The sequence below is a fragment of the Homo sapiens genome, chromosome 2 (genome assembly GCF_000001405.40).
Source record: "Homo sapiens chromosome 2, GRCh38.p14 Primary Assembly".
NCBI classification, from domain to species: Eukaryota; Metazoa; Chordata; class Mammalia; order Primates; family Hominidae; genus Homo; species Homo sapiens.
In genome coordinates, this window is record NC_000002.12 from 20,628,622 (window position 1) to 20,653,409 (window position 24,788).

The 24,788-nt window shown below is 54.5% G+C and overlaps 1 protein-coding gene and 2 long non-coding RNA genes across 7 annotated transcripts in view, besides 8 other annotated features; 1 reads left to right on the top strand and 2 right to left on the bottom strand.

The window, feature by feature from the left end:
• HS1BP3 (HCLS1 binding protein 3) overlaps nt 1–22,477 on the bottom strand; it is a 97,238-nt gene extending 74,761 nt beyond the window's left edge. For all 5 annotated transcript variants that reach the window (XM_017004698.2, XM_017004696.3, XM_017004697.3 and 2 more), the window contains exons 1-4: nt 22,411–22,477; nt 16,719–16,884; nt 12,352–12,559; nt 9,815–10,031 (exon numbers count right to left, since the gene is read on the bottom strand). In XM_017004698.2, the coding sequence (XP_016860187.1) occupies nt 9,815–10,031; nt 12,352–12,559; nt 16,719–16,884; nt 22,411–22,442 (623 nt within the window). In that variant the 5' untranslated portion in view covers nt 22,443–22,477. The remainder of the gene's footprint in view (nt 1–9,814; nt 10,032–12,351; nt 12,560–16,718; nt 16,885–22,410) is intronic.
• LOC124907740 (uncharacterized) lies at nt 6,095–9,808 on the bottom strand. The gene is made up of 2 exons (XR_007086243.1): nt 7,612–9,808; nt 6,095–6,381 (listed from the first exon to the last, which is right to left on the bottom strand). It is a non-coding gene; the product is annotated as an uncharacterized LOC124907740 (long non-coding RNA).
• Nucleotides 7,123–7,172: an enhancer, noted in NCBI's record as "active region_15397". NCBI's record gives its function as "activates an Ori minimal core promoter by ATAC-STARR-seq in GM12878 lymphoblastoid cells {active_cell/tissue: GM12878}" and the evidence as "EXISTENCE:reporter gene assay evidence [ECO:0000049][PMID:35858748]".
• Nucleotides 11,722–12,223: an enhancer, noted in NCBI's record as "H3K4me1 hESC enhancer chr2:20840103-20840604 (GRCh37/hg19 assembly coordinates)". NCBI's record gives its function as "activates a minimal SCP1, AML or CMV promoter by ChIP-STARR-seq in primed H9 embryonic stem cells {active_cell/tissue: H9 hESC(primed)}" and the evidence as "EXISTENCE:reporter gene assay evidence [ECO:0000049][PMID:30033119]".
• Nucleotides 14,060–14,189: an enhancer, noted in NCBI's record as "active region_15398". NCBI's record gives its function as "activates an Ori minimal core promoter by ATAC-STARR-seq in GM12878 lymphoblastoid cells {active_cell/tissue: GM12878}" and the evidence as "EXISTENCE:reporter gene assay evidence [ECO:0000049][PMID:35858748]".
• Nucleotides 21,824–21,903: an enhancer, noted in NCBI's record as "active region_15399". NCBI's record gives its function as "activates an Ori minimal core promoter by ATAC-STARR-seq in GM12878 lymphoblastoid cells {active_cell/tissue: GM12878}" and the evidence as "EXISTENCE:reporter gene assay evidence [ECO:0000049][PMID:35858748]".
• Nucleotides 21,924–22,073: an enhancer, noted in NCBI's record as "active region_15400". NCBI's record gives its function as "activates an Ori minimal core promoter by ATAC-STARR-seq in GM12878 lymphoblastoid cells {active_cell/tissue: GM12878}" and the evidence as "EXISTENCE:reporter gene assay evidence [ECO:0000049][PMID:35858748]".
• Nucleotides 22,154–22,743: a silencer, noted in NCBI's record as "silent region_11212". NCBI's record gives its function as "represses an Ori minimal core promoter by ATAC-STARR-seq in GM12878 lymphoblastoid cells {active_cell/tissue: GM12878}" and the evidence as "EXISTENCE:reporter gene assay evidence [ECO:0000049][PMID:35858748]".
• Nucleotides 22,154–22,895: a biological region, named in NCBI's record as "H3K27ac-H3K4me1 hESC enhancer GRCh37_chr2:20850539-20851276".
• Nucleotides 22,158–22,895: an enhancer, noted in NCBI's record as "H3K27ac-H3K4me1 hESC enhancer chr2:20850539-20851276 (GRCh37/hg19 assembly coordinates)". NCBI's record gives its function as "activates a minimal SCP1, AML or CMV promoter by ChIP-STARR-seq in primed H9 embryonic stem cells {active_cell/tissue: H9 hESC(primed)}" and the evidence as "EXISTENCE:reporter gene assay evidence [ECO:0000049][PMID:30033119]".
• Nucleotides 22,661–23,579, top strand: LOC105373466 (uncharacterized). Its single transcript, XR_001739320.2, has 2 exons — nt 22,661–22,731; nt 23,354–23,579. It is a non-coding gene; the product is annotated as an uncharacterized LOC105373466 (long non-coding RNA).
• The last annotated feature ends 1,209 nt before the right edge of the window (nt 23,580–24,788 follow it).

The following is a 24,788-nucleotide window of genomic DNA, read 5'->3' on the forward strand; positions in this document are numbered from 1 at the left end:
GAGACTTTGTCTCAAAAAAAAAAAAAGGAAACTGTTCATTAGCACACAGGGTGTTCCGCTCTGTCACGGCAGAGCACAGAGGACAGAGCCAACCAAGCCTGAGGGCTCAGGGAGGACTTCTTGGAGGAGGTGATGTGGAGACAGGAAGTGAACTTGGTGGAATGGAGTTAAATAGCATCTTGGGTACAGGACCTGAGAGTCACACTGTGAGGGTCTGCAGCGGGCGTGACTAGGACATAACTGGGAACCCAGATTCCTCTTGGTGAAAGGGGACCCCTTAGGTTTGCAGCAGACGTAGTGCCATGAGGGAACAGGCTGAGAGTCAGTTCTTTCCAGGGAAGCTTTGCTCATGGTCCATAGAAGAAATGACCAGAGCCTGGACTAGGAGAGCAGCGGTGGTGCGAGGGGAAGACAGGCTAGGGGGAACTTCAGAAGGCAAACGTGCTTATACATCTGGACAGTTAAGGTGATCGGCTGACAGAAGGGAATTGTCTAAGGTGATGACAGGTTTCTGATCTCAGTGAGGGGGTCAGTAATTCCATGACAGGTGCGTCACTCAGTCTCTGAGCCATTTCTTCACCCTTCTCCTAGCACAAACACCTCAGGGTTGTCATGAACATGGAGTCGGGTCAGGTCGCACACATGGGCTATCACTCGGGGGCCCCCTCAATCCTCTCCTCCCTGGTCCTCCTCCTCCTCCATTCCTATATCAGCATCCACCCAGCTGTCTGCAGGCGCAGGGCCTGGCTCTGCAGTGCCCGCCCTCCAGCCCGCCCTCTGCACTGACAGGAGACAAAGCCCCTCACTGACATGGAGGAAGGGTGCCCTCTTCTCCCTTCATTGGAAGGACAGCTGGTCATGATTAGAATCTTGTCACCAGGGATGGGGCAAAAGGGGCTTCAAAGAGAGGTCTGCAGGGAATAGGACTGGAACTGCAGCTCCTGGCTTCCTGGTGAGCACAGGGTTCATTGGAACTAGTGCAGGCCATGAGGGCCACCAAAACATGAGTTGGGCCCACAGAGGTTGCATGAGGTAGGTGGGGTGCTCCTGGATGGATTGCAGGCATGTGCTGGCATGTTCTTGTTGCATGCACATGTGTGCATGGACAGACACCCGCTTTCCTGCTGTGTATTCCTGACGGCAGACAGACGCGCAGACCAGGCCATGTTCTGCAGGCGGGCGTGCAGCATACGGGGTGAGAGGCGGCAGCTGCCGCGGCTGACAGCTCCAATGCTCAGACAGGCTGAGCAGCAGCCTGGCTCCCTGTGGCTCAGGCAGTTCTGGTGACAGTGATTGACACATAAGAGCATCCACCACTCTGGCCACCCAGGGGGCCTGTGGCACCATTCCCAGATGTGCCCACCCACACAGCAGACCACCAATGGGCACCAGCTGCTCAGCACCGGGTGTACATGCATGGCAGAGGCATCTCCTAGACACAGCCAGCTTAACTGGGTCTGAACAGAAGACTGCTGATCTTTCCACAACTGAGACACATGGACAGCATGAGTCTTCAAAGCCAGGGTGCAGCTTAACCAAATACGGAAATCCACCTCCTTGCCAATGATGCAAACTGCGTGCTTTAAACTAATGCACTTTTCATACTTTATTCTTAAATTCAGCTGTTTGGTGTCTTTTTGTTTTTTGGGTTTTTGTTTGTTTTTTTGAGACAGGGTCTCTGTCACCTAGGCTGGGGTGCAGTGGCATGATCACAGCTCACTGCAGCCTCGACCTCCTGGGCTCAAGTGATCCTCTCACCTCAGCCACCCTAGTAATTGGGACACAGGCACACACCATAACACGTGGCTAATTAAAAAATAATTTTTTTGTCGAGATGGAGTCTCGCTATGTTGCCCAGGCTGATCTCAAGCTCCTGGGCTCAAGTGGTCTTCCCGCCTTGACCTCTCAAAGTCCTGGGATTATAGGCAAGAGCCACTGTGCCTGGCTGGTTTTATTTTTTCAATGAGAAAATTCTCAGAGTACCAATAAATGGACTTCTGAAATTCACACCAGGACAATGTTATTTGCAACAGCAATGGGCTTCCTTGGAGAAGCAATCACAAGAGTGAGAATCACCTGAGGACAGGCACTAACCCTGGGAGTCCAAGCCAGCCTCACTGGACAGGGGCTTCAGAGAAGGCCAGGATGGAAAAACGAGCAGAGTCACAAAAGCTGTGCTCCGGGCAGAGAGAAGAGCCCATGAAAATGCCAAGGTGTGCAGAGCCTGGCATAGTGAAAGTGCCCAATAGCTGGGCAGCAGGTGCATGGAGGGAGGGTCTGTGGGAATTGTTGGCCACCTCCAGTGGGGCCTGGGGAGATTCTGGCCTTTGCTGAGAGAGGAGCAGCAGAGGGGGATGTAGGAGAACTTGTATAGGATCTGGACCAGTCACTCAACTTCCCCAACCATGTTTCCTTACTGGAGGTCAAAGGGAAGAAGGAGGCAAATGACACAGAAATGCTTCGCAAGCTGCCAAGTGGGTCCTGGATGCAAGTCAGCGCAGGGCCGTGGCAGAGGTCTGGGGTCCTGGGAGCTGCCTGGTGATGTCTAGGCTCACTTATGCTTTCTACTCAGCAGACTTCACTCTGGGCCTTAAAAAGCAAATGGGGCCAGGCCAGGCACAGTGGCTCATGCCTGTAATCCCAGCACTTTGGGAAGCCGAGGCAGGAGGATCACTTGAGTCCAGGAGTTCAAGACCACCCTGGGCAACATAGTGAAACCTCATCTCTACAAAAAGTAGACAAAAGTAGCCAGGCATGGTAGTGCATGCCTGTAGTTCCAGCTATTTGAGAGGCTGAGGTGGGAGGATCAGTTAAGTCTGGGAGGTTGAAGCTGTAGTTAGCTGAGATCACACACCACTATACTCCAGCCTAGGTAAAAGAGTAAGAACCTGTCTCAAAAAAAAAAAAAAAAAAAAAAAAAAAAAAAAAAAAAGGGGCCAGCCAGGGAGGTCACCATGAACGTTTATCATTTGCTATGGTCCCCAGAGTCACATTCCAAGGACCTGTTTCTCAACAGCCAGAGCCCACTCTCCTGGCCACTGAGCCCTATCTTGAGGGGCCAGGACTCAGTGACAATCCCACCTGAGCTTGTGGGTGATGCCATTTTTCCTTCTCCACAATGGGGCCAGAGACTGCCCCTCACCCATCCTGGCTCCTGCACCACCAGGGAACCACGTGGGTCCCAGCTGCAGGTCTCTGCAGCCTACATTCTACAGCAAGCGCCCAGTACCCCCAAGAGCCTGAATACACAAAGGGACAATGGCCAGGCCACATGTAAAGGTGGAACTCTGACCCACAGTCTGCAGTAACCTGCCCAGGAAGCCAGACCACAGCCTCTGCAGCAGTCAGCCCCAAATGGCCAAGATTTGATCAATAACTGCCAGCTTTCCTAAATTTTTCCCCATTTCCAGTTTAGTAGGACCATCCAGAGAAAGCCAAACATGCCCCACTTCCTGCTCACAGAGGACAAAGGATGCCCCACTTCTCATTGGCTGCTTCTGGATTCCCCATGCCAATAACCTCCAATCAGCGTGTATCTGAGCCTTCCCTTTCATCTGCTTCAAAGTGTCCCACTCCCCTGCCTCTCTTTGCATCTTTGCCAAATGCAGGTGATGGTGGCCGACACCTCCCTGGTCGCAGTAAGCTCTGAGTAAACAACCATTGCTGGTTCTCACATGGGCGCTCCTATGCCCCTGATCCACTCCAAATGGTGACACGACCAGCAGACAGCTAGCTGTCCTTGCAGTGGGGAATGCCCATCACCCATGTCATCAAAAACCGAGAGTGAACAGGTGAGGGCTGAGAAGTCAGTCCCCTGGCACAAGTGTTGGACATGGCCTGGGGAAAAAGGGAAAAGTCCTGGGCCAGCAGTCAGGAGACCCCCAGCTCTTGCTCTCATGCCCTCCTGTGTGATCCTGGGAAGGTTCCTCAGTCGTAACAACAGAGCCTGGATCTGATCTGCAGTCCTCAGAGCGTAAAGGCTCTGTCATCCTAAGAGTGTTGTTACTTGCCAGAACTTGCCACAACGGGTCCTGGGGGAGCCTGAGGCGGGAAAATGGCAAGTGTGACCTCCCAGATTTCTATCTCTCAAGGAACCAAGCAACCACTGAATCCCACTAAGGATTCAGGTAAGCAGGCTCCTTCCTCCAGGGCCAGGGGCTGCCCCACCTCCAGAATCGCCTGCTCTAGGAAGCTGTAACAGGTGACAGGTGTACCGGCGCTCCTGGAGGGAGGTAAAGTCATAGTGTGCACATCACAGTGACTGATATTTGCATAACAACTATAGGAAGTGGAAAAGCTGCCTTTTATATTCATATTTCAACTGTTGGTTAAATACACAAAGACCTCTTTAGAGCAAAGTGAATCTGAAATAGTGATAACATTTTACAAAGGAACTTTCCTGTAGTGCTCCATCTCATTTTATCCTTTCAGCCACTGGGCCTCTACTTTACCCCTACTCTACAAAGAAAGAAACAGGCTTGGAGAAGTACAGCAACGCACTCAGCGTCCGCCAGCTGAGTGGCAGAAAGGGGATTTGAACCTGGGACTGCCCATCTTTAACCCTGCTCTGGGGGTAGCCACACATCCTGGGGGTTTCCAGCTGCCCCACTCACTGTCAAACCATACTCTAAGGGGCCCTCGCCTTCTGCAAAGCTGCCCAGGGCTACCCCAGGAAGTGGGGCTGAGGCTGGAGGGACAAAGATCCAGTCCTCACTTGTCCCAACCAGGGGAAATCCTACTTCAGCCTGTTTTATGTACTGGGATTCTGGATGATATTTCTCTTGAGCCAAAGGTTTTGCTACTGAATTTAAAAAGCAGAAACCACTGGTACATCTGTTGTTCCTAACAGCCCATTCATTCAGGCAGGACTTTGTGCAGTAATCTGTTTTTTTGTTTGTTTGGTTTCTGTTTTGTTTTGTTTTTGAGATAGAGTCTCAGTTGCCCAGGCTGGAGTGCAGTGGCACAATCTCAGCTCACTGCAACCTCCGCCTCCCAGGTTCAAGCGATTCTCCTGCCTCAGCCTCCTGAGTAGCTGGGATTACAGGCGTGCCCCATCATACCCAGCTAATTTTTGTATTTTTAGTAGAGACAGGGTTTCACCATGTTGACCAGGCTGGTCTTGAACTCCTGATCTCAAGTAACCTGCCCACCTCAGCTGCCCAGAGTGCTGGGATTACAGGCGTGAGCTGCTGCGTCCGGCCACGGCAGTAATCTGGATGGGGAAATGCAGTTGGCATGCACACTGTGCTGCTGTGATCACTGTGACAGCCTGGGTGGAGTGCCGCCTGCGTGACGCTGCAGGGCAGCTGTGGCACCTGCCTCCTCCTTTCCTTATGGCTTTGGGTCCCCAGCCAGGCCAGGGCTAAGTGCTGCACAGGTGCAGGGTGAGGTCGGGCCCAGCCATCCTGGCTCGTGGCCCCCACATGAACCCCAGGATGGCACAGCAGAGAACTCGTCCAGCAGGTGGGTCAGCAGACGAGGGAAAGCCCAGCCCGAGCAGGAGTTGCTGGGGAGCAGACAGTACCGGAAGTGCCTTCTGGACACGCCCTGTCCTCAGCCCCCTGTGGGCGGCAGACTGTGGTGACGGCTGACCTGCCACTCTCCACACCTGTTTCCTTTCTGGCATTTCCAACACTTTAACAGAATTTGGTTTCTGGGAATTCTCAAACAGGAGCTTGCGGAAGAACCAACTCAAGAGCTTGTTAAAACACAGATTCTGGGGGCCCTACCCAGATCTGAGGGGGGCCTGGAATCTCTATCTCTGCCAAGCTTTCAGTGGCCCAGAATCCCTAGGTGGTCTCTGTTGCACTGGTGGCATCAGGGGAGCCCTGGGTGCCCAGGCTCAGGCTGGAATGAACAAAGAGGTGCCAGGCCCATGCGCAGTGGTCGGGATATTTAGCAAGAGGCACCCTCGGGGAAGCAGCTCCAGGGCACCTCAGGAGGTGGGACTGAGGCCCTGCTGTCCCCACAGAGCTCCCCTCCACGGCTCACCTTAAGGGACTGTCTTGCTGCTAAATCTTGGGTTAGCAAATCTGGGAGCACCTGGCAATGTGCCAGGAGCATTCAAAACCACAGAATCATTCCAGAGAAGTGATTTCATCCAAATATAGAGTAAGATATTATTTTTATACTAAAATACATGTGGTTGTTTTATGAAAGATGAAGCAAAATCCATATTAAAAAACAACCATAAAACGTGGCATTCCAGAGAAACATCCAGCTTCACCACGGAGGCCACAGCACGGGGACCCGGGTGTGGGCTCCCCCTTCCAGGGAGTCTGGGAAGACCAGCTTTGCAGGCAGGTGCATTTGTTCATACAGGAGCCAGCCTGTCCCAAGGACGCTGTGAGTCCTCAGGGACCCAGGGCCTGGAGGGGGTCCCTGTGTGCAAAAGAAGAGGTGGGAGGAGTGGGCCCTGAGGGCGGGGGTGGGCAGGGCTTAGAAAAGCAGAGGGGCCTCCCAACAGAGGGGCTTCAGCCCTTAGAGAACCTTTTACTGGAATGGTACCCCAAAGCCCCCAGAAGCAGCTTCAGGGACCTTGCTCTGGGGCACGTATATAGGGGAAGGCTCCATAGAATAAAAGCTTTGTATATGTAGAAGTTCCTCAGGTTATTGCCTGTAATAGCAAAAACCTACAGAAAACCCCGCCACGCCCACAAGCAAGGGCCTGGTAATGCCACTTACAGCCCATCGAGCTGAGAAACCAGCAGAGGAAGGAGGGAGAGTGCAGCTATTGATCTGGAAGGACCTAGAACATGTAAGCTGGAAAAAAGCAAATTCCAGAACGGCACACAAGACAATCTCATTTTGGCAGTAAGATGTGAATATTCAAAGGTGCATTCAGAAATTCACAGGGAAAGGACTTTTATCTGTGTTTGCAATTTTTCTATACTAATTGTGTGTTATTTGAGTCACAATGAAAAAGGTTTCCCGCAGAGGATTTCCAGCATAAGGCAGAACTATTAGGGTAGAATGTCAATTTTCTCAGCACCGTGACATTCTAAAATAGAAACTTAAATACAAAACAGGGGCGACATGGAGCAGCAATCGGGACAGACCATAGGGTGGAAAAGCAGAGTACGAAAAGGCACGTGCATTGTGCCTGCGGTTGCATGGATGCTGCTGGGACGGGGTCAGAAGAGAGCCCCAGCAGATGGAGAGAGCGGTGGTGTTGGGATGGGCCGAGGTGAGGGCTTTTTCTATCTTTAATTGCTCTCTAATGGTGTAATAACGCTCTCTTGTCCCTAATCAAAACCAGGTTTAAAAGACAAAGAAAAGCCAGGCCGGCCTGGGCTCCGGCTTTGTGCTGGCGACTCCCACCCTCCCAGCAGCCCTGCCGTGGAGCAGCCCTTCAGCAGAGCAGCAGCGCCTCGCCGCGGCCACGGCGGGGAAGGACCGAGGCTGGTTGCATGGAAATGGTGGCCGCTCCAGGAGAGCCCAGAGCTAAGCCCAGACATGGGGCAGGGCAAGCTGGGAAACGGGTGCCGCTGCATCTGCACAGGAACCAAGCGCACGGGAGGGAGAGGGGTGCACAAACAGCCTCCCGAGAAGAACAGAAAGTCCCCCACCAAAGGGCAGGTGGGTGGCACCAAGAGAGATCAACAAGCCCACCTGGGTGTCTGTGAAAGGCCGAGGTGGAAACCCAACTTCAAGGTACGGCTCTGCCACACACACAGCTCTGGAACACACACGGCTCTGGCCAAGATCCTGCTCAACTCCTTCCTCGATTTTACCATCTGTGAAAGGGGGATAATCCTGGGGCCCTGCCCACCTCCCAGGCTGATAAAGACTGGACTGGAGATGGCGTGGGGTCCTGGCTCTGCCATCTGCAGGCTGCAGGAACGTGGACGAACCACCTGACCCTGAACTTGAGTTTCCCACCACACAGAAGAGGCTGATGCCAGTGCAGGCCTCCAGGGCTCCGTTTCTTGACCTGTGCCCACAGTGGATCCTGAAAGCAGTTTGGCGAGTCATGACCTTTCCAAACGTTGAAATAGAATAGAAAATATCCCAGTACAATACACTTAGTAAGGTTTTGTATGAGTTCTGGGAACTTTTGCTTCAGTTTTATGGGATGTTTATACATGTGTGTCCTGGGTCATGGCGTACCATATAGTTTTTACTATGGGTTGTAGCAAGTAGTTTCAGAAATGCTGTCTTACAGATATAATGAGATCATGCAAGCAAATGCTAACTTAGTTCCCAGCATTTCATAAACTCTCAAAAAATTTACTTATTATTCCTGACAGAGGTGATAACGTTGATTCATCAGCACCTTGTCACACGGGTCCTTAAAAAGAAACCCCAGCAGGGGAGGGTCTTAAGCCGGCAGGATTACTCTTAGGTGCTAAGCTTTCCCAGGATTCAGGGGTGAGGGCCCCAGAGTACAGAGCTGGGGAGGGGGCTGCCCCCGCCCCCCCCGCCCCGCCAAGGGGTCCCAGGATAGCTGACACATCTCCCCTGACAATCTGCTAATGAAGTAAGTAGGAAGTTCAAGGCAGCACTTGCCAGCCACAAAGAACATTTTCCTACCCAAAAAAGGAGCCGCTCGGCTAAGTGTGTTCTTCAGCCAAAGGTTGGCACAGACCACCAAAGTCCATCTCGGTTTGGCACTACGTGTGGTTACTCAGAACAACAGAGAATGTGAGTTCAAACAAAGCCTCACCCTTACCAAAATAAAGCCCAAGAAAGGCCTGCCGCGTTGGGCCAGGCTGATAAGGAGTGACTATTACAGGCTTGTCCCCATATCACCCACTACTCTGGCTGCCTCTCCCTCAGGGCCGCTGACCCCACTCAGGGACAAGGCCAGCCACGGAGGGCCAGGAGGAGCGACTGCAGGGCACTTGCTGTGCCCAGGTGCCGCAGGACCCCAGATCTCAGGCCTGTTTCTGCTGCAGCTCCCTGAGCGCCGCGTACCCTTTCCCAGTGCAAATCCTCACCCCTGGACGCTGGTCTCATGGCCACCCTGCAGCCCACCCTCCCATAACCCTCCCCACGAAGAAGGCCTTTCCAGAGTGGGCTGTGATTTTAGGAGAGAATTCTACATGCTGATGAAGTTGAACTTGCTTCTGCCTAATTTCTACTGGGCTCTAATTCCTTTCTGCGGCAGGACCTACACTCATCTGGCGCCCGAGGGCTTTGGTAAACGGCTAAGAGACATTCGTTGTGGTAGAGAGCGGGGAGGACAGCACCCCTGGCCTGGTCTGATTCCACTGAAAGATGGGGCCATGATGGTAGCTGATTGCTAAATTTACATAACTCAGTTCATCGTCACAGGAGCCCTAAGAGGTTGATACGACCATGAGTCCATTTTCACTGAGGAAAACCGAAGAAAAGAGATTGTAAATGGCCAGAGATGTATGGCTGGTGAATGGCCCTGTGTGGAGGCAGGGCCAAGGTGAATGCTCCTGCTATGCAGATGATGCAGCCCAGAGAGCCGCAGCCACCTCTGCGAGTCCCACAGCTGGAAGGAGCACCCAGTCCTCCCACACTAGCCGGACAGGCCCGCAGCCTGCACTACTGAGCTGTCACGGAGGACTCTACCAAGCCCCAGTGCGGAGCCACAAGTGGAGGACATCCTGTGACCCGAGAAGGGAGGCGACACCTAAGCCCAGTCCCAGAGACATGCACACCACCAAGGGCACGCAGAGAGCTACTTCCCCCAACACACCAGGCCAAGGCCTCGTGGCCCAGATCCCTGCGAGGGGGCGACCTGGGATGCTCAGGGCTTTTCTCAGATTCCAGGGAAGGGGGACGTCATCTCCAGAAAGCCTGGAATACACCAAAGGGGCCCTCTCAACAACAGGAGACCAACCGCATAATGCCCAGAGGGTCCAGCGCCTCCTCCTCCTCCAAGGATTCCTCAGCATCCTCGCCCTTCAGGCTCTGGACGGGCGGACCCTCTTCTGCCACTTGGTCTTGCTCCTCAAAAAAGTCGAAAGCCTCTTCATCATTCCCTGTCTGACTGTCTGTGCCATCCAGGACAGAGGAATCTCTGCTGGTGAGCCCTGCAGCCCCTGGGGATCTGGTACCTGTGGAGGAAGACAGAAAAGAATGGACTTGGTAACCACCCCAGAGCCAGGGGAGGCATCTTGCCACACTGCACCCTCCCATGCCAGGATCTGAGGCCGAGGGCTTCCTGCAGCCTCCTGGGACCAAACTCGTCCCTCCTGGGACCTAAGCAGGATGGCGAGTCTGGGTGGATGGAAGGTGACCTCCGTTTCGGGGGCAGCCAAGTGCCTGCTGCAGCCCCCCAAGGGCTGACGGGCACCAAGGAAGCCTGGAGTGGAGTGGTCACAAGTGGGAGCTTCAGAGCAAGACAGGGGCAGCGGTTCCTGAACCCAAGGCCCAGAGCCTGTGTGCGCCGCAGGGATGGCTGCACCCTCCTCCCGGGTGAGCGGTGGGATACAACAGCCAGGGCACAGGGTGATTCAAAAAGAACCAGTACAGCCAGAACCATTTACAGTTGGAGGCACGGCAAGGAACTCTGCAGACAGAGACCTGCCCCGAGAGTCTGGGCACCTGGACTGTGGACTGGATGGGTGCCCAGGGTAAGCATGTGGAAGATTCCAGAACAAACGGTAATCACTCCATTACAAACTGGCTTAGATGAGCGCTTCTTGAAGTGTGGTCTTCAGACAGAGAATGCCCCCTGTGTGACCACAATGAGGTAAGTAGAGAAAGGGAGAGCAAGCATCCAGAAACTTCATAGCATGCTGCCATCATCACAATACCCAAGTGTGCTTTTGTATTTGTGAAAGTATCCATCTGTGACAGGCTGGGAATAAAAGAGCTAGCCCTTGCCACAGATAGTTTGAGAAGCGTGGGCTCAGACTATTTGTTCATTTCTATCCAAGTGCTTACTGGGTAGTTTAAAACAACTGACTTTTAATAAAATCACCTTGTAGGTAAAGAACTTAGAGAGTGTCTGGCATACAGGATGCACTGAGTGATAATGACGATATCGTATTATGTGATGCTCTGTTATTTTACTTGGACAAATGTGAAAAGCCATTCAAAATCTCCCAAACCTTCAATTTCATGTCATAAGCATCTTACATTTAAACATCACAAAAGCCCTATGAGAGAGATCCCTACTGTACATCCATCTTGCAGATGAGCAAAGTGAGGCATAGAGCAGCTTGTGTTTCTATCCTGCCTCTCCACCAGAGAGGGGCTGGGACATCCTGAGCATCTCTTCCAGCGATGGCTGAGCTGGAACCTCTTGGCACAGTCTACCCAGCCCCAGAGACAGGCAAGGAAGGAAGGGTTGTGACCTTGGAACAACAAGGGCAGAAGAGAACCCAGACCCATGTGAGGGGCCCAACATGGCCACAGGACACCGGGGCTGTGCAGCTTGTCCAGTCCTAGGCCTGCGCATTCACCAGTTTTGCTTCTCTTCCCCACCTTTCACTTTAAATAATTTGTTTTATTTACGGTCAACTTTCTTTTGAAAACTTCCCTTCTGTCTTGTGGAACTAGGAGATCCACAGTAGCTGGGAAGGAGTTAAGCAGACGGATGTAAAGAGGGGAGAAGGGGTGGGAGTCCGGCACCAGCAGTGGTGAGAACCTGCCTTGTCCTGGGGGCATCTGTGAGACCAGGGCCTGCCCCACGGGGGTTCTGGGTTGACAGGACTAACCGAGGAGTGGGGTAAAATTGTAGCCACTATTTACTGTGGTTGTTTCTGTTCTAAGGACTTTGCATGTGTTAGCTCTGTAAATTCTCATAACGGCCTATCAGCCAGGCTACTCCCACCTTACAGATGAGAAAACTGAGGAGAGAAGACAGGGCCAGGACACCCATGGGAAGGGCTTGACGTCTCCACCACTGGGGGCAGGGGTGCTGGATCAATTCCTCAGCCCGGAGCTGTCCCCATGACCCTCTCTGTGGGGGCACAGGTGAGAAGCACATGTCCCCAGGGGCAGGTCACCAGCCAGGCTGTGAGAACACAGCTTTCCCGGGATACTGCAGGTCCCTAGGGCTGGTTGGAGGAGGCAGAGGGGAGTGTGGGGTGTGTGTCAGGGGGTTGTATGTGGTGCATGGTCAGTCGGGGGGTGTCGGGCAAGCTCTAGGAATGGGGCTGGCCAGGAAGGCCATGGATGGGGTCACACTATGGAGAATGCCTGCTGTGTGAGCCCCCACCTGACAGCCAGACGTTCAGTCCCTCAAGGGTAGGCCTCCTTCTGCCCACCATCCAGCCAAGGATGTCAGCGAGGCCACCTGCCTCACCAGCCTGGCTGAAGCCTCCAGGCTGCAGAGGCAGCTGTGGACATGCTCCCACTGGGGCACGGCAGCGGGGCCTAGTTCTGGGCCGGGGAGACCTGAGGGACATGGGGCAGAGCCTTGGGTACCTAAGAACTCTAGCAGCTCTGGGCTGCCTGCCAACTCGGCATCCTTGGAGACACAGCGCAGGATCTCATTGAACACGGCTCTCCTCTCCCGGATGTCAGACTCCCCAACAAACAGGACCTTCCTGGGTAGTGGGGGGAGGCTGGCTGCTGCATAACGACTGCTCAGTTTCTGGTAAAACTCCTCAATCTCGCTGTACTTTTTGGAGACCTGGAATGAGAGGAGCATGTGGTTTCCTGAGTGAAGAGTGGCAGGCAGTGCTCCTTTCTCACCCCGACCAGGGGTTCCCAAGGCCCAGCAGCCAAAGGAAGTGTGCCAGGTACGCCCGCCTGCTGCCCCTCTGCCTGTCTCCCAGCCTCAGGCTCCAGTCCTTAACACGCCTGGCCGATAGCAGATTCAATAAAAACATCTTAGTGGCCCAGAGGAAAGATGCAATAACGGTGCCATTCTGGACACTGTCACAGGTCCAGTTAACAAGATTTGATACAGGGACCCCTGCCCAGCCTGCACGTGATCAGGGCCACTGTGTTCATTCCCAGCTTTCTGCATATCAGGAGGGTGATCTCACCGGCTGGCAGGTCATCTTCCTGCAACACCGTGAATCATCTGTTCTCAGCACCAACCTCATTCTCCCGTGAACCAGTGTGGCCTTCGGCGGGCCAGCCAATGCAAGCAGTGGAGACAGATATTTCCAAGGCTTGTTCTCTGCCCTGCGTCAGGCAGGACCTCTCTGCACGCAGGCACCCGAGTCAAGCAGGCCAGGACTCTTGCTGTCATCAGAAGGCAGCCTTGAGCACCATCTGACTCAGAGAGGGCAGCACTCAGCTTCCCGTGGGGCCAGCGGCTGACTCCCGCTGCCTCCTTGGCCTCTCCCCACAGCTCCTGGGCAGCTAAGCCTTCACCCCTTCACTCACGGAGCTCTTGCTGCATGTTCACTCTGTACAGAGACACCCCAGCAGGCTCTCAGTCTCACAGTGGTTTCAGTGCCATCGCCGTGTCTGTAACCATGTGGGTGCTCAGCGAAGTCACCTGCTGTATACACACACCATCGGCCTGGCACCTACCCTCACTCCTAGCTCCTCTATCACCTGCTGTATGCACACACCATCATCCTGGCACCTACCCTCACTCCTCGCTCCTCTGTGCTTTCCCCATAGACTGGGCCTGTCTCCCCCGACTGAAGTGTGGGTCACTCACTCTTATGCTCCCAGGCCCGGACTGTGCCCACAGTGTGCCACTGGAGTGCTGGCGTGCAGGGGCTGCGGGCATCTGACGCCCTCGGGCTCGGGGAGATCCCTTGGTGCAGGGTGTGTCTGGAACACACATCCTTGGCTCCAGCAACACCACCCAGAATGCCCAGCCTGTGAAGGGTCAAGATACCAGGAGGCAGCTGGGGGGATTTCAGAACCTCCAGTGGGGAGTCACCTGGGACAGGTGCTGCTTGCAGTTGTCAGCACAAGAGCCTGGCTCCAGACTTTCCTGAAAACAGCCCTCAGGGAAAGGCACACGGACCCCTTCCCAGAGCGATTGCTAACACAGGCTCCGACAGCAGCTGTGACTCCAGCCCGGCCCGCAGAGCAGGCCACGGTGGGGGCCGGGCGCCCCCTGCTGGCCCGACTGCTCCCCTCAGGCTCAGACCACAGACCCAGCATATCCAGGCTCGGGGAACCTCCATCTCCAGGGCACTGGCATCGTGAGTACTCCGGAGCTGTAGGCCTGGGCTCCCACCCCACCCAGGGCCCACGTCCATCAGGGGTTCAGGCAGGGCTTCTTGGGTGGGCATCTGCACCAGCAACAAGAGGAGGCCAAGTAAGAGACCCTGAGCAGAGGAAGCTCAAGGTTGAGAACTCACATTTATCTGGTGCCCCCGTGTGCCAGGCACTGCTGAGCACGGGGCAGACAGCCCTGTAACGTTAGTAAGCTTGTGGGTGTCTGCACTGCTAGCACATCCAAGAGCCTGCACAACCTCCACTGCGGTGCCCCCTCCTGCGGCTGTTTTACTCCATGGTCAGCAAATCAGTACACGTTTATATTAAAACACATATGCCCTTTTAAGTAGATACAAAATGCTCATTAATTCTTTGAGTTAATTCATGAAACATCAAAGAGACTTCAGGCTTGGGGGTATGTAACTTTAGGCTCCATCCTGAGATCCCATGGGGAGTAAAGGAGTTCTTTGCCCTCGCAAGTACTTTCAAATGTCTGACAAGCCCCTGCACGCACACACTCCACGAGGAGTGGGCGTCACTGCCTAGGAAAAAGTGGCACTAGTGTGATTCATGGAGGTGTTAAAACACCCTCATGTACACCTTGCATGTAAGGCCGGCCCTCTGCACAGAACCAAGTGGGCTGGGCGGCTGAAGCCCAAGCTTCCCAGAATGCTCCCTCCTTCATGCCCCGCAACATCAAGCTCAAATACTCTCCTCTTCTGCTCCTGTCTCTGAAAATGTGGGTGCATTGAGCTCCAACCTGGATCAAGTCAAATTACCAGGAGCTGCAAAGCACCCTGTAAAGCAGATTCACTCTCAGAGCAATGCAGGCCCAGAATCACCCCTGACATCACACGTTGCTTCTCACCAAGAGTCGGCCACAGGAGCAATCAAATGAAAAACAGCATTGCTATTCTAGACGCTTCTCATGACGTTGTTGAATGTCCCTTAAAATTGTGTGGCTGGGCGTGGGGGTTCACACCTGTAATCCCAGCACTTTGGGAGGCTGAGGCAGGAGGATTGCTTAAGCCCAGCTTGAGGAGTTTGAGACCAGCCTGGACAACATAACAAGACACTATGTCTACCAAAAAAATTAAAAAAGAAAAAGCTGGGCATGGTGGTGTGTGCCTGTAGTCCTAGATACTTAGGAGGCTGAGGCAGGAGGATTGCTTGAGCCCAGGAGTTCCAGGCTGCACTGAGCTATGATCACACTACTGCACTCCAGTCTGGGGAACAGAGGGAGATCCTATCTCTTAAAAAAAGGAAACATTTGTGCTGTAAATTTCTCTTAAAATTTAGTGTCTCTTTCAACAGGTCACCAGAAAGATGCAACTCATCGTTTCCCTTTTTATCTTGGTTGCCAGGAGACTCCAAGCTAGCCCCGTGTCACTCCCTGCTGTACTTCGGGGTCTAGTTCATTTCACCTTTGTCCTAATAATCCTGGACCTGTGTCTCTTGGTCTCCAGCTGCAGGTCCTTTTCACAAGAGGCCAAATGGTAAATAATAAGCCAATGAGTGTGTGATCTCAACCCTCTTGAAATTCTCTCCTCCCTTAGCTCCTCTGACTCCGTAGATACCCACCCAGTTCTCTCCTCTCTGCCTCAACTGCAGACTCCTCCTTCTCCCCAAGAGTCCCTGAACCCCTGGCATCCTCAGGATTTCCTCCTCAGCCCTTCTCTCTGCCTTCCACTTCTGTTCTCTGGGCAACTTGATCCACTCCCAGATTTTTAATATCACCTCCAAGTTGATGACTCCCAAGCCTACATCTCAGGCCTGAGCTCGTCCCGAGCTCCAGCCTCATGTATCCATCCACAGGGCAGACACTTCACACTCCACATGCCCCCTAGGTCTGCTCCTCCATCATATTCTTTATTTCAGTTGGTGGAAACAGTCAGCAAATGTGGTGCATGTTACCCAGTAAACATTTTCAACTCTCCCTTTCCCTTCCATACCAAGTGCAACTGGCCTGCTCCAAGCCCTTGATTTGGGAATGACCATATTGGCCATGTATCTGGGCTCCCTGACACCTGTTTTGTTCCTTCCAATCCAACTCCATGCTCTCAGCAGATTGGCTGGTTAAAGGCAAAAGGGTCCACGTCACTCCCCTGCTTAAAACTCTCCTTGGCTGCAGGTTAAGTCCAGGCTCCCGCAGACTCTCCACAATCTGGATCCTGCCTGTCACTCACCTTCATCTTCCCCGCTTCCTCCCAGGACCACACTCAACTGTGCAGAGTTCCCACTCAATGTCCTATTTCCAACCTCCGTGCCTTTGCTTAGGATGTGTTGTCTGCCCGGGACACCCTTCTCACCTCTCCTGCTGAGCCCCATCTGTTCCTCAAAACACAGCTCAGCCACCGCCTCTTCCAAGAAGTTTCCCCAGGGTCAGTTAGGTGCCCCTTCTCTATACCCCCAGAGCCCCCCAGGTGCTCCTGTCCCCATCTGTATCTGTCTCTTTAGAGGTCTGCCTCTCCACGGACTGAGAGCGTCTGATTCACCCTGTGTCCCTTCTGTCTAGCATGGTCTGGTACTCCAGGCCCTGAGCAAGCAACAGACAGAGAAGCACTTGCTCTGGATGCTACTTGAACCCTGGTGGGCAGATGTGTCTGCCCGCCCGGACCCCGGGCACCCTCGAAACATCCTGGCCAGAGCCTCCGGCTCACCAAGAACTGGACGACATCCTCGGGCCTGTGCTTGGCCGACTTGAACGCAGCCAGACGGGTCACCACCAGGATCTGGTACTCCACGTGTCCAGACATCATCTTGCCCCGTACCTCCTGGTGCTGGGGCACAGTCAGGTCGAGGCCAGTGTGGGCATTCTGAAGTCGCCTGCCAGGGGAAAAGAAGGCAGGTGGGGTTCAGGGTCAAGGCAGTAGGCTTCCCGAGCAAAGTGCAGGCAGGGCCTCTGGGTGCCTGGCAGGCCTGGGTGCCAGGTGACTCTGCTGGCTGTCCTCAGTGGTCACTGCTCCAGGCCACCCATCCCGCCACACCAGCCCTCATAAGCCTGGCTTCCCAGGCCTCGAGGCCTCGGACCTGGTCCTGCCTTTGGGTTGCTCAGGGACAAAGGTCTGCTCCCTGCAGGAAAACAGGAAAGGATGGGGCTTGTTGAAAGGGATCGACACAAACTCTGTGCAGAATGGGTGGGAGCAGCATCCTAGGGCCTCTACTCAGACCAAGGAACATGCCTGGGGCTGCAGGGACAGCAAGGGATTGAAATCCCAGCTGGAGACAGGCACCTCTCTTTGGCTAATGGGCAGGAGGGCTGCTACAGGCCCCCTGGGGGGGACACGGGACGAGCACTGGAGGCAGGACCCTTGTGACCCACCGTGGCCCAGAGAGGCACTGATAGGCCCGTCCCTCATCTGGGCAGTCGATGCTGCCCCTCGAGGTGTAGAGAGGATGCATCGGCAAAACATCACCGCTCTTGGAGATTTGTAAAATGCAATTCGAATATAATGAATTGTATGATGAGCAAAGAAGTGATGAGATGTTTTTCTTGAAGTGGAAAAAGTTATTAAATACATCCCTCATCCTACATAAGGTGAGACACAGACCTGTGCAGACTAACATCCCTCACGCAAACACCTCTGGCAGGACACGTGGGGCACCCTCTGAGCAGCTCTGACCATCGAGGTGAGACCTCCTGTGTGCTGGGCAGGACCCTGAAAACACGGGAGGAGCTTCTGGAGCTTAACCTGTGTCTGGGGCAAGGCCCTTCCCTCTCTGGAATTATACCCCAATCCATCAAATCCCCCTGCCCCAGCACTCCTCCCACACGGACCCCTCACATCCCACGCTAGGCCACGCTGTCACCAGCACAACGCTGCTGTCACCAACTGGTGAGGCCTACAGTGATGCGTCTCCTATGCCATGTATGACACCCAATGACTGAGTGCTGTACACACAAGGAATATCCTCCCGCGGCGTAGGGCACCCCAGGCAACCTGCCTTCAGGTGGTGAAAAGTGCAGCAAGGGCCGAATGGGCACTGGGAGGTGCACACGCACAGCCAGCCCTCTGCCAACGGCACCGAGTTCACGCAGTGTGCACGCGCGGCCTGGTGTCACCCACGGTGTCACTGCCACCAGTGTGGAGGAGGAAGGTGAGGCTGGATGCTGAGGGGAGACGCGCTGGGCTCTAGGGATGCACCTGTGTGAAGTCACTTCCGCCTCCTGCAACCCTGCGAAGGAGCTCTGCTACCCAGACCCACTTAAAATACAGGGAAACAGACCCCTAAAGGGAAAGTGCCTGCCCAGGTCTCACCCGGCATGAGGTGGAGCTGCGTTCAATCCCAGGCAGCTGCTCCAGAGCCCAGGTGGCCTCTTATGGGGCAGGCATGAGAAAGAAGCCAGGCATCATTTCTTTAGGATCATGATGAAAACGAGGCACAGGGGGGTGAAAGTGACAAGAAGGGCAGTGCCTGAGCTGCGGGGAGGTCCTCTCAGGGGTGGGAAAGGGATGGAGCAGACCCAGATGGGCACCTCCCACGATCCAGCTCCCTCACAGCACCCCACATCCAATGGTTCTCTGACCACGCCAGAACCCACAATCCATAACCCCACCCCTTTTCCAGGGTCCCATTCCATTGCTGGAATCCCTCTGCCTTAGGCCCAGCTCCCCTGACTTCTTACCCAGAGCTGAGCTGGCCTGGTCAAAGCCCACTTCTCCAGTTCTCTGCTTCCTTCACCCTGTGCCCAAGTGGCTCAACGTGACTGGGGACAGACATGGTGTAAACATGCAGCCTGGTCCCATTGAAATTCATGGCTGCAGACTTGAAGGCACAGCACCACACCAGGCTTGGCAACCCTACCTTGCCCTAGATGTGGGGTTCTCAAAGTGTGGTCCCTGGATCAGGATCAGCATCGCCTGGGAACTTGTAAGAAAGGCATGTTCGGGCCTAGGGTGGCCAGCCATCTTGTTTTCTTAGTAAGCCCTCCGACGAGTCTGATGCACCTGGGCCTACTCCATCACCCTCCCACTTCCCTGAACCCATAGGAAAACTTTCTCTACAGGGTCAGATAGCAAATATTTCAGGCTGTGTAGGGTATCTGGTCTCTGCTGCAGCTGCTACGGAGAGTACATAAACAAATGGGGGTGTGGTGGGCAGGATGTGCCCTAGACCAAGCTTCTCCAACTGTAATGTGCGTGCAACCCCCTGGGGATCCTGTTAATATGCAGATTCTGGTTCTGCAGGCCCCGGGGTGTGCCCTCACCATCTCTAGCAAATTCCCAAGTGATGTGGACACTGCTGTGTACTGCTCCAGAGACCATCGGAGAACATCCTAGGCTTCGCTGTCACATCTGCCCATCAGCCTGCAGCTGCTCCCTGATAGCTGCCCTCTCCTGGGACTGTAGACAAACTGGCTGGCTGCTCCTAAGGCCAACCTTCTACCAGGGCAGCGGCTCCGAGGCCCTCCCACCTACTGAAGGACATAGCTGCTGCAGCTCACCCCTCTTTTTCGCACCATCGATTTTCCTTCCTTACTGGCCCACGCTTATTAGCATGCAACCATGCTCTGACCACTCATGTAACAAAAGCTGTGCTTTGACCCGACATTCCCCTTGCTCCGTTTCCCTCCTGCCCTTTCCAGCAGAACTCCTCAACAGAGGGCCCCATATTCATGGGTTCCTCTCCTCCTGTTTGATCTTGAACCCTTTCCAGCCAGACTTTGGTCCTCATCATGCAACAAACTGCCCACGCCCAGGTCATCTGCGACCTCCATGTGGTTAAATCCAAAGGTGAATCCTCATTTCTCCTCTGGTCTGACTTGTCAGCAGCAGTGGGCACAGTCAGCCACTCCCCTCCTTCAAGCTCTGCCTTCACTGGTGGCTGGAGCACCCCCTCACTCTTGGTTCTTCTCTGCCCACCCTGGCCACTCTTGCTCAAACAGGAGGAGAGGAACTGCTTTGGATGGTTCCCCTTGATAGCATCCAGAGCACCCTCCTTCTTCCTCTCACTGTACCCCTCCCCAGGTGATCTCATCCAGGCTCCAGGCTTTAAATACCATTTCCGAGCCAATGGCTCCCCAACTCCCATCTTTAGCTCACTCTCCCCTCACAGCCAGCCTCCTTCCAGCTGCAGCTGCCTGACATCCCCACTGGGCTGTCAACGAGCTTCTCAAAACTCACCTGTCTACACAAATGCTGCTTCTACCTCTCCCCAAGCCTGCTAAAGGGCAGCCTCATTCTTCCAGCAGCTTAGGCTGAGAGACTTGCCGTTAGTCTTAACTTCTCTTCTTGTTCTCACACCCCATATCCAAGCATCAGCAAACCTGAAAGCTCAATCTTCAAAATATATCGAGAACCCAAACATTTCTCACCCTCACGGCCGCCATCACCCCGGGCCAAGCCACCACCGGCTCTACATGGAAACCTACAAGCCTGTCCTGAATGCTCAGCTCGGCCACTGCCCATGCTCAGCATAGCAGCCAAAGGATCTCTATAAACCAGAAGTTGGGCCCTATTGCACTTGAAATTAAATCTGATGGCCCCTCCACAGCCTTCTCGGCCTTTCCTGATCATCCTTCACTCCCAAGCTTGCCTCTTCACCGCATCACCTAACACTCTCCCTGGGCTCACTCCACTCCAGCATACCAGCCTCGGGACCCTGGCTCCTGCTGTCCTGTCCTCCCAGTACACACTTTTCCAAGATTTCTTTTTCATGGCTCTCTCCCTCATGGAGCTTGTCCGGGATCTGTCCAGGCGCCACTCCATCAGAAAGATGCCTCTTTACCACACCATAGAAAACAGCATGCATGCCTCCTACCACTCTGTTGCCCCCACTGTTTTGTTTTCCTTCATAGCATGTATCATCCCTGACATGTCGTAGATTTGCCCACTGGGCCTGTGCCCTCATTAAAGCTCTACGAGAGGGACTTGTTTGTCTCCTAGAACTAGGGCCAGTACCCGGTACAGAGAAGGCTCTCGATAAACACCTTCTGGCTGAATTCAAGCTTGAGTGCATGTGGCAATGACATGTGGGAGGAGATCGGGCTGGAAAGAGGAGCTGGGGTGCGACTGGGAAGGGCCGGCCTTGCTGCTGGGCTAAGGCGTTTGGACTCACCCTGCAGGCAAGATCCTTGGGTGTGCTGGTGCCCTCAGCAAGAAATGAGCCTGACTCATGTGGCCTTACCACCGCCAGCGCCCCCACATCTGTTAACAAGCCACGTCCAGGCTGTGCAGCGGGGCAGGGAGGGAAGCCACCCACCCCATCCCAAGCACCCAGCACCAAAGTCACACCCCATCCATCTGCACATGGCTGAGGGGCATATACTACTGACGTTGCTCATGCCTGCCAATCTGAAACCTCCAATTCACAGAAAAGGAAACTGAGGCTTGGTGAGAGGAGGTGACGTAAGTGGCAGTAGGGAAACCTCTTCTGCCCATGAAGATACAACTGTAACCACACTTGATCATGAAAGACCAAGCAGCCTCCGACATCAGGGTTTACAAAAGGAATCATACCTTTCTAGACCTGAAGTCACGGGGAATTCCTGATTACAACTGGAAGATCAACAGTTGGCTGGGTAACACGTTCATTTATGTCATAAATTGGCATCTTAGCCTAAGACTTTGTGTAGGGAGAGCAAGGGTGAAGTGTATGAAAATATTTGAAGTAAATCACTTTACAGCGTTTTAAAGGCGGAAAGAAGTAAAAGCACGTGCCTCCCAGCCTTGCCAGGATCCACCTTGGGCTGGGTCCTCCAGGTCTCGATCAGGGCCGACCCATTCTGCATCCTCCGCCTGGACCCCTCCAAGGCTTTTGCTGTAACTTGCGCTCTCCTGAGCTGCCTCGCAAGCAGCAACGACCTCTCCCTGGTCTCTCATCAAACTCATCCTCCCAGAAACCGGGTTCCTGCCCTGTACTGTGTTCCCATGGCAACCTGAGCTTACTACCCGCTGCTGGCATCACCCCCTCTCCGCTGCAGCCCCCTGCAGGGCGAGCTTGTCTGATTCGCCTCTGTCCCCAGTGCCCAGCACCGGGCCTGGGACTCAGGGAGCTCTGAAAGGATGGGGAACTAGATTTTCGGGCTCAAAAGAGAAGAACCCAAGGCGGTAGGAAAGGAGAGCAGAGTCCCCACTGCGCCCGCCTGCACTGAACCAGTCAGTCCCAGGGCTCCCGCTGTCCTTGGCTAGTTCTCTACCCTCCAGAGGGCCTCGGTTTCCTCATCTGTAAATCGGGGTCGCCACCTCTCCTGCAGGGCGGTGCAGGGGCCCAGCCCGGATAAGCCACCGAGGGCGCTGGGGAGACCTGCACCAGGTCCCTGGCCTAGGAGGCGGCGGCCTCCCCCCGCCTCTCCGCCCGGGCGCCCCGGACTGCGAGCTGTGCGGTGTGGGGCGCGGGGGTCTGGCTCACCTGGAGGTGACGAGCACCGCCGGGGACTGCATGACGGCGGCGGGGACTCCGGGCGGGGCGCGCAGTCACGGGACCCGGCAGTGCCCGCGTCACCGCGTCCCCGCCCTGCCTCCCGCTGCCCTGGCCTGCCCCCTGGTGGCAGCGGCCGCGCAGTTCGCGCCTGTGGCCAGAGGCGGGGCGGAAGCGCGGCTGGGCGGGTCCCGCACGGTCGCCGTCGGCCTGCGCTGCTCGGAGCTTCCGGAGCACCCAGGCTGAGCCGCGCCCGCCGCAACCACCTAGAAGAAGCCCAGCCTGGCCCTGGCACACGGTGAACCTTAATCGGTGTGTCTGTTTTGCGCTAAAGTTTAGCCGTTAGAGAGACGGGACTCTGCTGTTTCCGCCGCCAGTCCCCATTACAAAACCACTCCCCCTCTGCCCCAAGACCATTTCATTCAACCGATCGGTCAACAAATATTTACCAAGCTGGGGCTCTGTCCAGGCTTCGTGGGGTCTTCTTCAAGCTGCACAGTGAACGCCACGCAGCAGCCCAGTCCCCTTGAGCTTGCTGCCTCCAGCTAGCTCGCCTATCTGGTTCCTACTGCCTGCCCGCTCCATAAATGGCAGGCACTCTCCCGACAGGGGATCTTTAGAGAGGCAGCCTCTGCTGCTTGGCAGAGCCCTGGTGGAGGCCTCCCGGGGCCGGGCCTGCCTGGGATGGCTGCACTTGGGTCCCCAGCTGGAGCAGGGCAACGGGGTCCAGGAGCCAGTTCCCCTCAGAAGGGGAACGTACAGACATGCAGACCCTAACAGACCCACTCATTTTAGATTCACCTCTCCATGGGGTGAGGAACAGAGAGATCGTATCACCTGCCAACGTAGCCCAGGGAAAGAAAAGCTGAGTCTGCAAACAGGGCCAGCAGAAGGTGCAAACTGCTGCCCCTGTTCTGTTACTCCCTCCACCCAGAGCCCCAGTGACAAAAAGAAAGAGAAGCTGGGCTTAACTATACCAGAATTCACGGCAGGGCGATGTCAGCCATGTTTCCTGAGCCTATCAACCACCGCCACCAGCATCACCAACAATATCTACCAGTTTTTACAGATTTTAGTGAAGAAATCCTACAGTAAAAGATTTTGAAAAATGACTTTCCCCAATGTATCTCTTGAATAAATACGGACATTGATATGCCTTATTATTTGTCTCAGATTTGTTTATAGGCAAGATGAGCAATCATGAATGAAGTATGACAATGAATGAAAGTTCTGAGGGAGACCCTTGAAGGCTGCAGTGAAGAGCTGGGATGATGGCGGGAACCCCTGTCTGCTCTGCTGCTCATCGGCCTGTCCGTCTGCAGGGCCGTGTTCATGGCTGCAAATGGTCCTCCGTGTTTTGTTTAAATTGGCATGCCCTACTTTAGAGAAAGGGAGTTCAGGGTCTGGACAGAAAGCAGTATAGGCTTCAGCATTCCAGGAGTCTGAGTGTAGTGCCAGGCAGTCGAGCAGTCACCATTGCACTCACATTTATCCAACAGACAGAAACACAGTGAATAAGACACTTTAGATGCCTTCAGTGGACTTCTTTGCCCTCCTACATGGGGAGTGGGTGGGGGTCTGGAAAGGCTTTCTAAAGGAGCTGAAGTCCAAGGGAAAACCTGAAGAAATATGGATAGAATAGATTAGAAGGAATGTCACGTGCAAAGCCCTAGCGACAGGATAGGAACACCAGGGAACAGGGGGAAGAGGCCAGCAGGAGCCAGGGTGTGGACAGCCTAGTGCACCAAGGCCAGGGCTTTGCCTGATCCTGAGGCCAACACAGCGCCATCAGAGGGTCAGGGACATAGGAGTGGCTGGGCCAGCTAGGGCGTGGGCAGGGTTTTGGAGCATGTTGAAGGTATGAAGATGAGCTGGACTGCAGAACAATCCAGACAAGAGACAATGGTCCCATGAACTAGGGTGATGGCCACCCAGGTGGAGAAGAGGGGACGGGTAAGAGGGCCTTAGGAGAAGGAGTTGGTCAAGACTTGGGAATCCAATGGGTGTGGGCGGGAAGAGATAAGATACCACTATGGTTTGGCTCTTGTGAGTGGCTGGACATTGGTATCATTCTCTGTGGCAGGGCACCTGGAGAAGGAGCATATTTTTGGTAGGATGATGGGTTCTGTTTCAGACAGGCAGTGTTTGAAGGGCTGGACCTATTGATGCGATTGGGTTTATGGCCCTGGGCCTCAGGAAGCCGACCTGGGCTGGAGACTGACATAGGAGTCATGGGTAAAAAGGAGGCTGTTGAGCCTGAGAGTTGGGGTGAGCCCACCAAGGATGGTCTACAATCCAGAGATATGCAGCGGTGTTGGGGGGCTGCAGAGAAGGGGACTCTCCATCATTGTGGGAGCTGGTAGCATGTC